At 47.1% G+C, this 15,551-nt stretch overlaps 1 protein-coding gene across 1 annotated transcript in view; it reads right to left on the bottom strand.

Annotated features, from left to right (window-relative positions):
- Positions 1-8,152: 8,152 nt before the first annotated feature.
- Positions 8,153-15,551, bottom strand: part of ZNF589 (zinc finger protein 589) — a 29,887-nt gene continuing 22,488 nt past the window's right edge. The window contains exon 4 of the mRNA NM_016089.3: positions 8,153-11,228. Coding sequence (NP_057173.2) covers positions 10,357-11,228 — 872 coding nt within the window. The 3' untranslated portion in view covers positions 8,153-10,356. The remainder of the gene's footprint in view (positions 11,229-15,551) is intronic.

Here is a 15,551-nt window from a genome sequence, read left to right as displayed (position 1 = left end):
AGACAGCCTGCCTTGATCTCAGTTTGACTTACTGGGCCTTGCAGTCATTTGAATGAGGCCCCCTATCATCCTTCAGAAATGAGCTGTCAGCCCCTACACCAGAGACTCAGCTACTCCTTTCCCCACCCCTCCTTCCCCTGCAACCCTTTATTGTGAAGATCTCACAACACCTCGAGCTTGTTACTGCACAGATGAGGCCATTACAGCCCTGATTTCATCCTCTTTTCGAAGAGACAAAGGAAGGGGTGATTCTTGACTAGAAGGCACCCAAAGCCATCTGCCCTGGCCGGACAGAGGTCCCCTCTGCGTCTTGTTGGATATAAAATGCTCTAGGAATAAATGCTTGGTACCATGAAAACCAGCACTCAGGCAAATTATTTCAGCAAGGCAATTTACTTCTGCAAAAGGGTGCCACTTGTGTCAATCAAGATCACAAGAGCACACAGAACAAAGGAGACCGGGGCGGGGGGGTTTATCTTTAACGCAGTCCCTATCTCTGTGTCACTCCCCCATGGGCTGTGGCTGGACCGCACAATCTGAGCTGACCCGATTGGCTACTTGTACATATTTTCCCAAATATAAAAGGGGAGGGGGACATGAGGTACAGAGGTGGAGCATGTGAGATGTGCAGTTTCAGGGAAACAAAGGATACAGGTAACCAAGGGAACAGATGTGAATTATTGATTAGAGCTGATGGGAAGGGGGATAGGCTGTTTACGGTAACTAGGGGCAAGGAAGAACAAGAAAGTTGAGTTTGAGAACAAGGATAAGGAAGTTAATAGGCTAAACCCTTTGAAGAGAAACTCAGATTTATTGCATCTTACAATTCCTCCCTTTTAATTTTCTTACGATCCTTTCTCTTCAAACTTTTTAAACATGTCTTGGCTTTGCCATTCGATTTGATCTTTTAAAAGGAAAAGCGTACTTGAATAAGGTAGAGGAGAACTAAGGGAGGCTTTAGTAAGTGGTGTTTGTACAATTCTTTGTATTAGCCCACAGATGCATAGTATGACACAACACCCAATGAGAACGAGGATGCCTACTACAACTGCAAGGGAAATAAAAATTGAGACCGTGATTCCTTTCCATTTACCGAACCACTTTCCTAGCCATCCTTAAATGGGGTCATTGACTCCAGAATTTTTAGCTAATTCATTGGATAAAGCGGTAAGTCTCTGCAAGGCCTTTGTTATGCTCCCATCGGGGGCAGTGTTGTTTGGGATGAAGGTACAACATTGGGTTTTAATCATAACACAGACTCCACCTTTTTCGGCTAATAACATGTCTAGAGCTATTCTGTTTTCCCAAGCCATTTGGCTAGTAGGCCCTAATTGGTCAGCTATTCCTTTGATAGCATCCCTGGTGTAATTAATAAACCACTGCTGGTTATAATAGATGTAATTTATCCAAGCTACATTTTTATTAATAGTTACCCCTGGAAATATGGATTCAAATCCTGCAGCTCTTTGGTCTCAGGCTTTGAACCTGTCAGGCACTCCCTGTGGGACTCCAATGGCATCTATGTAAACTTGAGAGTCAAAAGACCCATAAGGAGCTTCTCTTATTTTTTAGTGTTGTGGTTTTTCTTTCTCTGGTTGATGAAATGCCAGGGTGAAAGGGATAGCCAATTGGACAATTGCACAAGTGCCGCTCCAGTTACTTGGCAGTGTCCAGTAAGGGTCCACCGCAATACCACCATACATCCGCTCGAGGATGACTAAGGGCAGACTGACGGGTAAGCTCTTGGAAGGGCTTAAGCTCACTCCATCCCATTAAGCTTCCGAGGAATGCCAAATTCTCCCCCTGTTGTGAGAGACATGAGGTGAAACTGACATTGGGAGATGGAAGCTGGATGGACCTCAGGGGCTGACCCATAGGGTGTTGGACTTCAGGATATAGCAGAGAGAGTGCTTGGCATGATTTGTTGCCCCAGGCTGTGGAATCCTGGAAAAAAAGCTACCATACAGCCCATGCCTGGTTGATTGAAGGACCATCCTAGTGGAAAGGGGACAATCTGGGCCTCTGGTCTGCAGTGCACATAAGCATAACAATTGCTTTTGTTTAACATGCAGACAGAATCCATTCCAACCAGGCATTTACATCTTGATATCCTGTTTCAATTGTTAGGGTTTGTCTTAAATCTTTTACTTCTACAATATTTACTTTGGCATTGTTGTTAGGTAGAGTAGAAGATTCAGATGGAGAAGAAGGGGGGTCGATAAAGCATATTTTAAAGAAGCCTTATGGTCATATCCATTGACCTCTGCTCCTAATCCATACAAGCATTCTAAAGGGGGCACAGGGTTGGTGGAGGTAGGGGCATTAATAGAGATTGTTACTGGGTTACAGTGGTGAAGTTGATAATTAGAGGGGATGATTCCTTTGGTAAGGCAGAGGCAAAATTTTAGGTTGGTACAGCTTTCTGGGGAGGTCCCGCCGTGTTCTCTGGTAGTTAGGATGACATCTGCCCATTGAGAACATATCTCCCAACTTGGGGTGCCTTGGTACCCCCGCCATAAGCAAGGCACGGGGTCAGTGGCTTCTCTGAAGGGGCAGAGGTATTTTTCTGAAGTAGAGACATATCTTTGCCAGTATTCATCCTTTTGACAAGGCATGACAAGGCAAGCATCAAAGGTAATGATTTGGGGTGAGTCTGACCTAGTTACATTGATAACAAGGTCAGCAAGAGAATGAGGAAAGAAGAAAGGGGAATAGAATAGATAAAAGAGTGTTAAATGTTTCTTAACCTTAGGTTTGAGGGGTTTTTTCCCTTGGATAATGACCCACAACTTCAGGGATGGCGGTGCTTTCTTGACTTGGGTGTGATGGGTCTATCTTTTCTTGCTGTTTGGACTGCAGTTTCAGTGGTTAGAAGCACTAGGCTGGCTCCTCAGGCTGGTGTCGAGGTACTGGAAACTCTAGGGGTGGCGCCTGTACTGGAAAATTGTGAGTTCTGAGGGAAGAGAAAGTGGAAGATAAACCAAGTATGTAGGAATGTTGGATTGCTTTGAGAGGTAGTTTGGATTCTTAGTAGAGTAATAAGAAGTCAGAAGACATTTGATTTATGGCAACCAAGTCTCTAGACTTGTTTGGCTCAGGGTATAAATTCCTATACACATATAAACTTTGTGCTATACATGGCTTGGGGTCTTTAATGAGTCCTCTAATGTAGGTGGAGAAAGGACTTCCTTCATAAGAGGTCTGAATAACATTTCTCTGAGTTCCCTTTAGCACCTACAGGAGAAATGCTCCTGTAGCGTTATCTGATTTGCTAGGTTATTTTCTGGCTTATCTGATTTGCTAGGTTATTTTCTTGACTCTTGAAAGACAGGCTTTTTGGTGCCTGGGGACATGGACAATAGCTATTTTTTTCTTTTCTGGTAACTGAAGGTTATTTAATACTTGGGTGACTAACTCCTCATAAACAAGGCTTTAACTTTTACTATTAATTCAGTATGAAATTTTCTAAATGTATGAGCCACTGTAAAGGCGTATTTACAATTAGTATATATGGTTCTTTCGGGTCCTGCAGGTACTTTAAAGCTTGACTAAGTGCAGACAGCTTATAAATTTGAATAGACTAATTATTAAACACTTTGATTTTCTCTAGGAACTTTCATTAACCACTGAACACTTGTTGCATTCTTTTTCCCTTAATCACTTTTGAAGGGGGTTTCTCTTAAGTTTGGCCAGACGTTTGTACGGTAATCAGTTAAATCTAAACATGTGTGCTTTCTTTTTGATTTGGATCTCTCGTTAAGAAACTTGCTAGGTTACGCGAATTATCAGTAGTTAATGTTAAACCATCCTTTTTAACAGAATAGCCTCATACTTATACACATGTAATTATTTTCTGGTAGCACATTTTAATATAAGTGACTTTAAGAGGTCGGGCGTGGTGGCTCATGCGTGTAATCCCAGCACTTTGGGAGGCCGAGGCGGGCGGATCACGAGATCAGGAGATCGAGACCATCCTGACTAACATGGTGAAACCCCGTCTCTACTAAAAAATACAAAAAAATTAGCCAGGCGTGGTGGTGGGTGCCTGTAGTCCCAGCTACTGGGGAGGCTGAGGCAGGAGAATGGCGTGAACCTGGGAGGCAGAGCTTGCAGTGAGCCGAGATGGTGCCACTGCACTCCAGCCTGGGCGACAGAGTGAGACTCCGTCTCAAACAACAACAACAACAAAAAAGCGACTTTAAAGAATCAAAGTTCTTTTCTGGTGGATATTTTTACTTTTAACACTGGCCTGACCACAATAAATGCTAGCGGATATATCAGCTGAAAGATTATTTACCACTTGCTCAGGAGACTTAGCCGCAGGGATGCCTAGGTGCTTGGAGCTGCGGCTGAGGCCCCATATTACTTGGCCTTGGCAAAAGTAAGGCAGATATCCCATAATGTAGTCTGCTTGGGGCATAGGCTGGGGCCTGGCCCATGGGTCTTGCAGAGCCGCCGTCAATATGGTGCTGGGATGTTGGACCAGCGGGGGGGCAGGAGCATGGGCTTTGCCTGCCGCTGGGGTGTACTATGGGAGGGACGATGCAGACATGTTGCGGTGGATCCTTGATGTTACTAGCCCAGCAAAAGCGACCTGGTGAATTAGGAGCTTGGAGTTTTTCCGGGGAGGGGGACTTAGGCTGGGCCTGAGGGGAAGGGTTGGGTGTATTAGGAGGGGGACTAGGGGTATTAGGTGGAGGATGGTCTAGGGGATCCCATGTGCTGTTCTCTTTGCCAGGATCCCCCCTTCTCTCACTGGTTCTACAGTAGGGGCAGGTGCATAAGGGAAAAGGGAGGACAGGTCTTTGCTTCCAACAAAGAGCATAGTTCAGTTCTTCTTGAGAAACTGGGCTTTTATTACTTACATGTTGAATTAAAAGTTGATATAGTATATCCTTAGTCGACCCAAACTTTGGCCAGAAGATTGAGGGACTGAGGATAGGTCTTTGAGACCAAATAGAACAGCAATATTTTATCATTTGTTCCTTTGTCTTATGTTTAGTTCTCTTGTTATCTTTCCAACCTTTTAGCCTGAGACCTAAGGGGCTATCAGGTGGTATATCTTTGAGACCTTGGGGACTATCAGTGGTATATCTTTGTTGCTAACTTTATCTTTTTTGCTTGTATTATTTACCATACTGGGTCCTGGCTAGGCTCAATCCCTCGTATTAGGAATCTCTTGCCTAGTGGGGGCTTTCTGTGGCTCAACCCCTCATATTAGGGATCTCCTGCCTATTTGGGGGGTTCCTTCTGGCTCAACCCCTCGTATTAGGGGTCTCTTGCCTGTCCTTCACTGGAAGCTTTGCTAAGGCACAATTCGCCTATCCTTTAGCTCCACCTGCTGGAGATTCCTTGCACCCTTCTTTCACTGCAACCTTCACGCTCTGGCCGCTTCCCTTGAGGGAATGTTCCAGGTCACTTTTAGCATTCATGGGGGGTCAGTATAAACCCCTGACGGGACCCCCAAAGGGCCGCCCTAAGCCATATGAGATGACCACGGAACTGCAGATTGGTCTCACTCCGCACAGCAGTAGTGCTTGTTACCATTCATGCACTTTCAACCTCCAGAATGCCCCGACCCCCGCAAAACCACTAAAGAAGTAATTTGTTGCCCCTGCGACGTTTTCTACCTTGGTCTGTGCAGTTTACCTGGTCGCCGCAGTATTGCAAGTCTCTCTTCCCCGCGTTGCTGAGAGTCCAGGTTTATTCGTCACAACAGGTGGGTCTCGATCTCCCATCCCTGAGGGCCACCGCAACAGGGCAGTGGGAAGTGTCTCCCCTGGGTAGGGTGACTGAAGACCCCTTCCCGAAGGAGAATGGGAATCCCAGACGAGCCCCCAGAATTGTTGGATATAAAATGCTCTAGGATGAAATGCTCGGTGCCATGAAGTAAAACCAGCACTCAGGCAAAAGTTTAATTTCTCTCAGCAAGGTAATTTACTTCTGCGGAACGGTGCCACTTGTGTCAATCAAGATCACAAGAGCACAGAGAACAAAGGAGACCAGGGGATTTTTATCCTTAACACAGTCCCTATCTCTGTGTCACTCCCCCCATGGGCTGGGGTCAGACTGCACAATCTGAGCTGACCCAATTGGCCACTTGTACATATTTTCCTAACTATAGAAGGGGAGGGGGACATGAGTTACAGAGGTGGAGTGTGAGGCGTGCAGTTTCGGGGGAACAATGGGTACAGGTAACCAAGGGAACAGATGTGAATTATTGATTAAAGCTGACGAGAATGGGGTAGGCTGTTTACAGTAACTAGGGGTAAGGAAGAACAAGAAAGTTGAATTTGAGAACAAGGATAAGGAAGTTAGCAGGCTAAACCCTTTGAAGAGAGACTCAGATTTACTGCAGCTTACAATCTCTTCCTATGACTGCCTGGACCTGACAGTCCTCTTGCCGGACCAGATCTGTGTGGTATCTCGACAGTGCCTACATGGATTTTAATAGAAAATGAACACTTTTTTCTCCCTCTCATGTTTAAAGTAGATGTATGATCACTAATTTTTCCACTTTCATTTTTCTATGGGAGGAGTAACTTCGAGGTCTTGTGGAATGATGGTGTCCCACCCTTCCCCTGCCCAGCAACCCCTAAACACACACACATACACACACTTTCTATGGCTTTTAGCTCAGGCCATGGGAAAGGGGCAGCAATAGTGAGAGGTGACAACGTGTTAGCAGCCCTCGCTCACTCTCAGCGCCTCCCCGGCCTCAGCGTCCGCTCTGGCCACGCTTGAGGAGCCCTTTAGCCAGCCGCTGCACTGTGGGAGCCCCTCTCTGGGTTGGTCGAGGCCGGAGCCAGCTCCCTTGGCTGGCAGAGAGGTGTGGAGGGAGAGGCGCAGGTGGGAACCAGGGCTGCGCATGGGGCTCGCAGGCCAGCATGAGTTCCGGGTGGGCGCAGGCTCGGGGGCCCCCACACTCGGAGCGGCCGGCCGGCACCACAGGCCCCAGGCATTAAGGGGCTTAGCACCCGGGCCAGCAGCTGCAGAGGGTGCACCGGGTCCCCCAGCACTGACAGCCTGCCCACGCCGCACTTGAATTCTCACCGGGCCTCAGCCGCCTCCCCATGAGGCAGGGCTTGGGACCTGCGGCCTGCCATGCCCAAGCCACCCCCGACCGCCATGGGCTCGCATGCAGCCCGAGACTCCCCGACAGGCGCTGCCCGTCCCATCGACCGCCCAAGGGCTGAGGTGTGCAGGTGTGAGGCACAGGACTAGCAGGCAGCTCCACCCACAGCCCCAGTGCGGGATCCACTAGGGGAAGTCAGCTGGGCTCCTGAGTTGGGTGGGGTCTTGGAGAACTTTTGTCTAGCTGGAGGATTGTATATGCACCAAGCAGCACTCTCTGTCTAGCTCGGGGTTTGTGGATGCACCAATCAGCACTCTGTATCTAACTAACCTGGTGGGGACTTGGAAAACTTTTATGTCTAGCTAGAGGATTGTAAATGCACCAATCAGCACTCTGTGTCTAGCTCAAGGTTTGTAAACGCACCAATCAGTGCTCTGTGTCTAGCTAATCTAGCGGGGACTTGGAGAACTTGTGTCTAGCTAAAGGATTGTAAACGCACCAATCAGCACTGTGTCTAGCTAAAGGTTTGTAAACGCGTGTCTAGCTAATCTAGTGGGGACTTGGAAAATTTTTGTCTAGCTAGAGGCTTGTAAATGCACCAATCAGCACTCTGTGTCTAGCTCAGGGATTGTAAATGCACCAATCAGCACCCTGTCAAAACGGACCAATATGCTCTCTGTAAAATGGACCAATCAGCAGGATGTGGGTGGGGCCGGATAAGGGGATAAAAGCAGGCTACCCGAGCCAGCAGCGGCAAGCCACTCAGGTCCCCTTCCATGCTGTGGAAGCTTTGTTTTTTCACTCTTCACAATAAATCTTCCTGCTGGTCACTCTTTGGGTCCGCGCCGCCTTTAAGAGCTGTAACACTAACCGCAAAGGTCCGCAGCTTCACTCCTGAAACCAGCAAGACCACGAACCCACCGGAAGGAACTAACAACTCCAGATGCGCTGCCTTTAAGAGCCGTAACACTGCTAAGGTCTGCAGCTTCACTCCTAAGCGAGACCACAAACCCACCAGAAGTTAGAAACTCTGGACACGTCCGAACATCAGAAGGAACAAACTCCAGACACACCATGTTTAAGAATTGTAACACTCACCGTGAGGGTCCACGGCTTCATTCTTGAAGTCAGCAAGACCAAGAACCCACCAATTCCAGACACATTAGGGTGGTAGGCCAGGCATGGGGGAGATCCTACATTCCAGGTACCCCTAGCCCTTCCCCTAAGCAGGCTAACCTTGGGGATTCCCTGGAGATCAACCACTTCCAGTGAGAGGGAGTGGACAAAAGCCTCTGGACCAGCCATTCCTTCTCTCTCTCCAAGTCCTTTTTCCTCTCTAGCATCAAAACCAAGCCTAAGTATTTTGAGGTTACATGAACATCTCTCCCCTTCTTTTCTGTGGCAGAGTCCCTTAGCAAATAGAGGCACTGGGGCCTGAGTGGATAGCTCTCCAAGGTACACTCATTGACACAGGGTATCAGGTAGGGCTAGCCCCAGCCCAAGGGAGTAAGGCAAACTGTCAGAACCTGGGCCATATGGGCCCTGGAGTGTGAGGAGAGACAAATGGCTAAAGGCCCTGGCACCATTCCTGGATGTAATTTAGCCACCCGAGCATGGCTAAAACACTGGGTACTGAGATTGGAGGATTTAAGAGGAGCTGTGTTTAAAATACCCTTAAACCTGGTATTGGAAGGCTGATGATGCAGCATTGCTAGATCCCTGTCATTGAAGGCCAAGGTGGCGTGGCTATGTTTAAGTCCTGAGTCTGAAGAACTTTTAGAGTGTGGTTAAAGAATCTTGGATTTGGGACTGGAGGGTTAGGAAGGGGACCTGGTAAAGGTGTCCCTCAGATTGTAGGGCTGGAGACTGAACTCTGAGTAAAATCTAAAGGTGGGGTAGGAGAGGAAACAGCAAAGGCTAGAGATGTAGAAAAAAATAAAGCAGGAGAGTGTCATGGAAGCTAATGGAAGAACACAGTTGCAGAAGGAAGTAGTCAGATGCAAAGACCATTCCTCCAAGGGGACCGTCACTTGACACCTCTGCTCTCAGAAGTTAGATCTCTGTCATCTTCACATCTAAAGGAATGTAAGGGGTCAAAAGACTGTCCCCAAAGCTCTTAGAACAAGAGTGGGGTGGGCGTACAGTGGATAGATTTGACTCCAAGTATCTCTTAAGGGGCCACTTCCAGCCAACACCTTACTCTCACTCCATGAAGGTTTCTCCCGAGTGTGTCCTCTGACACGTGACAAGTAATGATGTCCACGTACAGCTCTGTCCACATTACCTTACAAACAAGGCTTCTCCCTAAGCATTTCCGCTGGTGTGGCTGATGGCTGACTTGTTGCTAAAATCACATCCTCACTCCTTGCACCTCTAAAGCTTTTCCCCGAGTGTATCTTCTGGTGTATGATGAGCTGTGACTTTCTCCTAAAGCTTTGCCCACACTCCACGCATGCATAAGGCTTCTCCCCCGAGTGTATCCTCTGATGTAAGCTGAGAGTGGACTTGTGGCTAAAGTTTCGCCCACACTCGATGCATGCGTAAGGTTTCTCTCCTGTGTGTGTCCTCCAGTGTCTGTTGAGGAGTATCTTCCGGCCAAATCCCCGCCCACATTCCCCACACACATAAGGCTTCTCCCCTGAATGTGTCTGCTCGTGTGCGAGGAGAGTTGATTTATCACAAAAGCCTCGCCCACACTGGCTGCACACATAAGGTTTTTCCTTGGAGTGTGTACTCCGGTGGTAGTGGAGGGTTGACTGAGCTATAAAGCCTCGCCCACACTCTCCGCAGACATAAGGCTTTTCTCCTGTGTGTGTCCTCTGGTGTCTGATGAGCTGTGATTTCGTGATAAAGCCTTGCCCACACTCCGTGCATGCATAAGGCTTCTCCCCAGAGTGTATCCTCTGATGTACACTAAGAGCGGACTTGAGGCTAAAGTTTCGCCCACACTCAAAGCACGTGTAAGGCTTCTCTCCCGTGTGTGTCCTCCAGTGTCCATTGAGGACTATCCTCCGGCTAAATCCCCGCCCACATTCCCCACACACATAAGGCTTCTCCCCTGAGTGTGTTCTCCGATGTGATTTGAGCGACGACTTCTGGCTAAATCCATGCCCACACTCCTCACACACGTGAGGTTTCACCTCTGAATGTGTCCACTGGTGTAGGAGGAGAGTTGATTTAGCACGAAAGCCTCGCCCACACTCTCTGCAAACAAAAGGCTTCTCATCTGAATGTATCCTCTGGTGTGTGTTGAGACATGATCTCCTTACAAAGCCTCGGCCTCAATCTCTGCACACATAAGGCTTATCCCCCGTGTGAATTCTCTGGTGCTTAATGAGCTCTGACTTTTCACGAAAGCCTCGCCCACACACTGTGCACATAAACGATTTCTCCCTTGTGTGTGTCCTCTGATGTCTGATGAGGTATGGCTTGCAGCTAAAGCCTCGCCCACAATGGCTGCACACATAAGGTTTCTCCCCGGAGTGTGTACTCAGGTGGTTGCGGAGGACTGACTCAACTATAAAGCCTCGCCCACACTCTCCGCAGACATAAGGCTTTTCTCCTGTGTGTGTCCTCTGGTGTATGATGAGCTGTGACTTCCTGCTAAAGCCTCGCCCACACTCCCTGCACACCTGTGACTGCCTTTTGTCTGAAGATTTTTCTGCTGTGACTGCCTTCTGTCTGAACAGGTTTGACTTCTGGTTAAAAGCTAGTGCACACTCCCCAAACGTGACTGCTCCAAACCCTGGGGTTTCTGCCCTCTTGGAAATTCTGTCTACTTCCTCAGAGCTTGCATTCTGGGCTGGACTGAGCTGTATCTCTAATATTCTGTTGCCTCCCCAAGAGCTTATTGGTGGTCTCTGGAACAGGCTAGAGAAACCCACTAAAGCCCCCCTTTCATTTGTACTCCAAAACAAGGGTCTGACGCCTCCTTCCACTCGTTGATCTTCTGCTTCAGCCCCCCTGTGATTTTTATCAGAAGGATGTTGTGACTGTGGCTGATCCTCTGGGCAGGGATTTCCTGGGTGGAGTTGATTTCCTGCATGGAAACCTGGAATAGGATGATTGTGTAGCTCATCTTGGCTGAGGAACTGCTGACTGCCAAAGGCCAGAGGGCAAGAAGGGCAGGTATGGACTTCTGGCTTTGATTCTGCTGAAGAAAGAAAGTTTCCAGTCAGAAGAGTCATAGGAAGGGCTGACTGGGCTCTTGTTTTATGATAAGACCTGGCCCATTAATCATTCTCAATGATTAAAGTCTTTCTCCCCAAGATGTGCTGTGCAGGACCTATATTTTCATTCAACCTCTTCAAACTTTTGATTTGGAAATCATTTCAAATATACAGAAAAGTTGCAAGAATATGAATAATACAAAGGGCTGGGCACAGTGGCTCACGCCTGTAATCCCAGCACTTTGGGAGGCGGAGGCGGGCAGATCACGAGGTCAAGAGATTGAGACCATACTGCCCAACATGGTGAAACCCTGTCTCTACTAAAAATACAAAAATTAGCTGGGTGGAGTGACGGGCGCCTGTAGTCCCAGCTACTCGGGAGGCTGAGACAGGAGAATCACTTGAACCCGGGAGGCAGAGGTTGCAGTGAGCCAAGATCATGCCACTGTACTCCAGCCTGGCGACAGAGTGAGACTCCGTCTCAAAAAAAAAAAAAAATTCTTCTATTTATTAGTTAGGCAAGGGTCTTCAGTTAGGCTGATAAAGGGTCTGGCCTCCTGGATTACAAAAAGTTCATGGTTGTTTGTTATCTTCAGCTGGTTAGAAACAGTTGCAATTTAATTTTGATATTTCTTAGGAAAGTGCAGCTAAATGGTAACATTACTGTATTTGCCGACTTGTGGAAAACAGGGAAGAGCAGGTCTTGGATTGGAGGACCAAGAGCCAGCCTTCTTTAAGTCAGTTGTGCCTGTCTTCTCCACTGATGAATCCTCACTTCTGGTAGAACTTGGCATGTAATCTTCCTCTAGTAAATATCTACTTATGAGTGGGGAAACTCAAATGAAGGCTTCCTATGCACATTCTTCAATACTATTCTGTACTGCATTCTACATTGGGGGACATCGAGACTAAGTGACTCCTATCTCAATCCATCCTTTCTTCTCAAAGGAAAAGTCACAAAGAGCATTCCCGTATAGGTCATAAAGACTGTTCTCTCAGTGGAAACAAATGCTTATGGCATTATGTGATTATGGTAGAGGATAATTTTAGTATAATTGTAGATATTTACAACACTGAGGATGTCTGGATGCCTACTTGGAAGATTCTCTGTTGCGATAATATATAGAATAGATTCGGCTGTGGGTTTTTTTGGATTAAAGTAAAATATGTAATAAGTAAAAATGGAGTGCAGTGTATAATCTGAATCTAATCATGGGAAACAACAGGAACTTTTTTGTGACGGCGTTCACCATGTTGCCCAGGCTAGTCTTGAAGTCCTGAGCTCAGGCAATCTGCCCGCCTTGGTTGGCCTCCCAAAGTGCTGGGATTACAGGCGTGAGCCACGGCGCCCGGCCCTATTTGGCTTTAGTCACCCACTCCCACCACCACATTCTTCGATTCCTGATTCTAGGGCAGCACTCTATGATTCCAGGGCTTCATTTCTTCTGGATGGATGGGGGTCCTGGTTTCAGTAGCTCCTCTGGAGCAGCATAGCTTAGCTAGTCCTCATCCCTCTTCCTGTCCTGAGAGAGTTGGAGCAGTTGGGCTGGGTGTCTGGGAATCTGATGATCAGGATGTCTGGATGGCAGCTTTGCAAGCCTAGAGTAGTCAAAGCCTGGAACACTCCTGGCCCTAGATGTAGTTCAAAGGCCAAAGGTGGTTAGCTTTCCCAAGAGGTATTGCATCTATGTCAGGGGGCTTAATTCTCACTGGCTTCTTTTCTTCAAAGGCCTAGTCAAAGTAGCAAGGATCTCATTATTTATAGAACATAGACCTTTAAAAAGTTCAGAGTTATTTGTGGTGTATTTAGAGTATTTAGGAACACATATTTTGGCATCCTGAACCCTGTCTTGTCTTTTCTTACTTTATGACTGTGGACACAAAGTTACTAATCCTTCTAAACTTCAATTTCCCGATCTATGAAATAATACCAGCATTACATTTGGTCTTTATGTAAAGCCCTACAGAGCACAAAGCGCAATGCTGGGCCCATAGTGAGTGATATTTATTATGGGGTCTATTATTATTATTAAGGATAATAATAATAATAATAGAGCTTAGAATCCAAATTCAGGTAATAAAGACCATCAGAACTTAATACAAGTGAATAAATAAATAAAAATTTTGAGTTTATTTAATCGTCAGGCAAGGGAATGAATAGTAAAGAAACTTTAGTGAATAGTTCACAGGGAGAACTACTAAATAGTAGGAAGGCAGTTTTATGGCATTTGTGCTAATTAAATATGGAAGACCAGGACTCTGCATAGGATGGAATGAATCCATGGGTCTACACATTTGGTTAAAATTCTTCTGGCCAGCACAGTGACTCACACTTGTAATCCCAGCACTTTGGGAGAACAATGAGGGTGGGATCACCTGAGATCAGGAGTTCGAAACCAGCCTGGCCAACATAGTGAAACCCCGTCTCTACTAAAAATACAAAAATTAATCGGTCATGGTGGCGCCGGCCTGTAATCCCAGCTACTCAGGAGGCTGAGGCAGGAGAATTGCTTCAATTCCAGGAGGTGGAGGTTGCAGTGAGCCGAGATCCCATCATTGCACTCCAGCCTGGGCCACAAGAGTGAAACTCTGTCTCCAAAAAAAAAAAAAAAAAAAAAAAAAAAAAAGGCCGGGCACAGTGGCTCATGCCTGTAATCCCAGCACTTTGGGAGGCCAAGGTGGGTGGATCACATGAGGTCAGGAGTTCAAGACCAGCCTGGCAAATATGGCGAAACCTCATCTCTACTAAAGATACAAAAATTAGCAGGGCATGGTGGCGGGTGCCTGTAATCCCAGCTACTCGGGAGGCTGAGGCAGGACAATCACTTGAACCCAGGAGGCGGAGGTTGCAGTGAGCAGGGATCACACCATCGCACTCCAGCCTGGGTGACAGAACAAGACTCTGTCTCAAAAAAATTTAAATATTAAAGCCAACTGGACCCCCATCCATCCAAAAGACACTAAGCCCTGGAACCACAGAGTTCTGCCCTAGAAGCAGGAACAGAAGAATGGAATGGGAGTGAGTGACTAAAGCCAATTCTTTCTCTTATTTTATTTTATTTATTTATTTTTTTGAGACAGAGTCTCTGTTGCCCAGGCTGCAGTGCAGTGGCGTGATCCTGGCTCACTGCAACCTCTGCTTCCCAGGTTCAAGCAATTCTTTTGCCTCAGCCTCCCAAGTAGCTGGGACTACAGGCGTGTGCCACCATGCCCAGCTAATTTTTGTATTTTTAGTAGTGACGGGGTTTCACCATGTTGCCCAGGCTGGTCTCGAACTCCTGAGCTCAGGCAATCCACCCGCCTCAGCCTCCCAAAGAGCAAGGATTACAGGTGTGAGCCACCGCGCCCGGCCTTTTTATTTTTTTTTAGACATAGTCTTGCTCTGTCACCCAGGCTGGAGTGCAGTGGTGCGATCTTGCCTCATTGCAACTTCCGCCTCCCAAGTTCAAGTGATTCTCCTGCCTCAGACTCCTGAGTAGCTGGGATTACAGGCACGTGCCACCTCGCCCAGCTAACTTTTGTATTTTTAGTAGGGACAGGGTTTCACCATGTTGGTCATGCCGGTCTCGAAATCCTGACCTCATGATCTGCCTGCCTCGGCCTCCCAGTGTGCTGGGATTACAAGTGTGAGCCACCATGCCCGGCCTCTTCCTTCTTTATTCTACATTTCTAATAAACAAGACCCTTCAACTTAAAAAAAAGAAAGTCCATAATGTTCAGAGTAAAAGCCAAGCTGCTTAGAGGGCCCACTGGGTTCCACCTACTGCTTCTTTGACTCAACCTATTCTCCAGCCTTCATTTGCTCCATCTGAGCCACACTGTCCTCCCCTCCTGATGATGTACACTGGCTGGTTTCTATGTCTACAGAACCCTTCTCCCATACATATCACTGGTATATTCTAAGAATGCAGAACTAGACCCAGTGTTTAATAGTCAATACATACTTTTGAGTAAATGAGTGATAGGAGCCAAGTTAATTAAAAAAGGACTAGAGGGTTAGGCAGAAGATGTTCTCTAATACTGTCAGAACAAAAGCCTCCTTTTTATAACCTATATTTTGTAACATCTCACTTACTGTCCTGAAACAAAATTCATATTTAATTAAATGTACTCATAATGTTTTGTGTTTTTTTTCTCTCCAAGATGGAGTCTTGCTCTGTTGCCCAGGTTGGAGTGCAGTGGCGCAATTTCAGCTCACTGCAACCTCCGCCTCCGGGGTTCAAGCGATTCTCCTCCCTCAGCCTCCTGCGTAGCTGGGATTACAGGTGCACATCACCATGCCGGCCTGTTTTTTTGTTTTTGTTTTT

Source organism: Homo sapiens, chromosome 3, assembly GCF_000001405.40.
Source record: "Homo sapiens chromosome 3, GRCh38.p14 Primary Assembly".
Taxonomy (NCBI): Eukaryota; Metazoa; Chordata; class Mammalia; order Primates; family Hominidae; genus Homo; species Homo sapiens.
The sequence above is the reverse complement of the archived record's forward strand: the minus strand, read 5'-3'. Positions and strand labels throughout refer to the sequence as shown.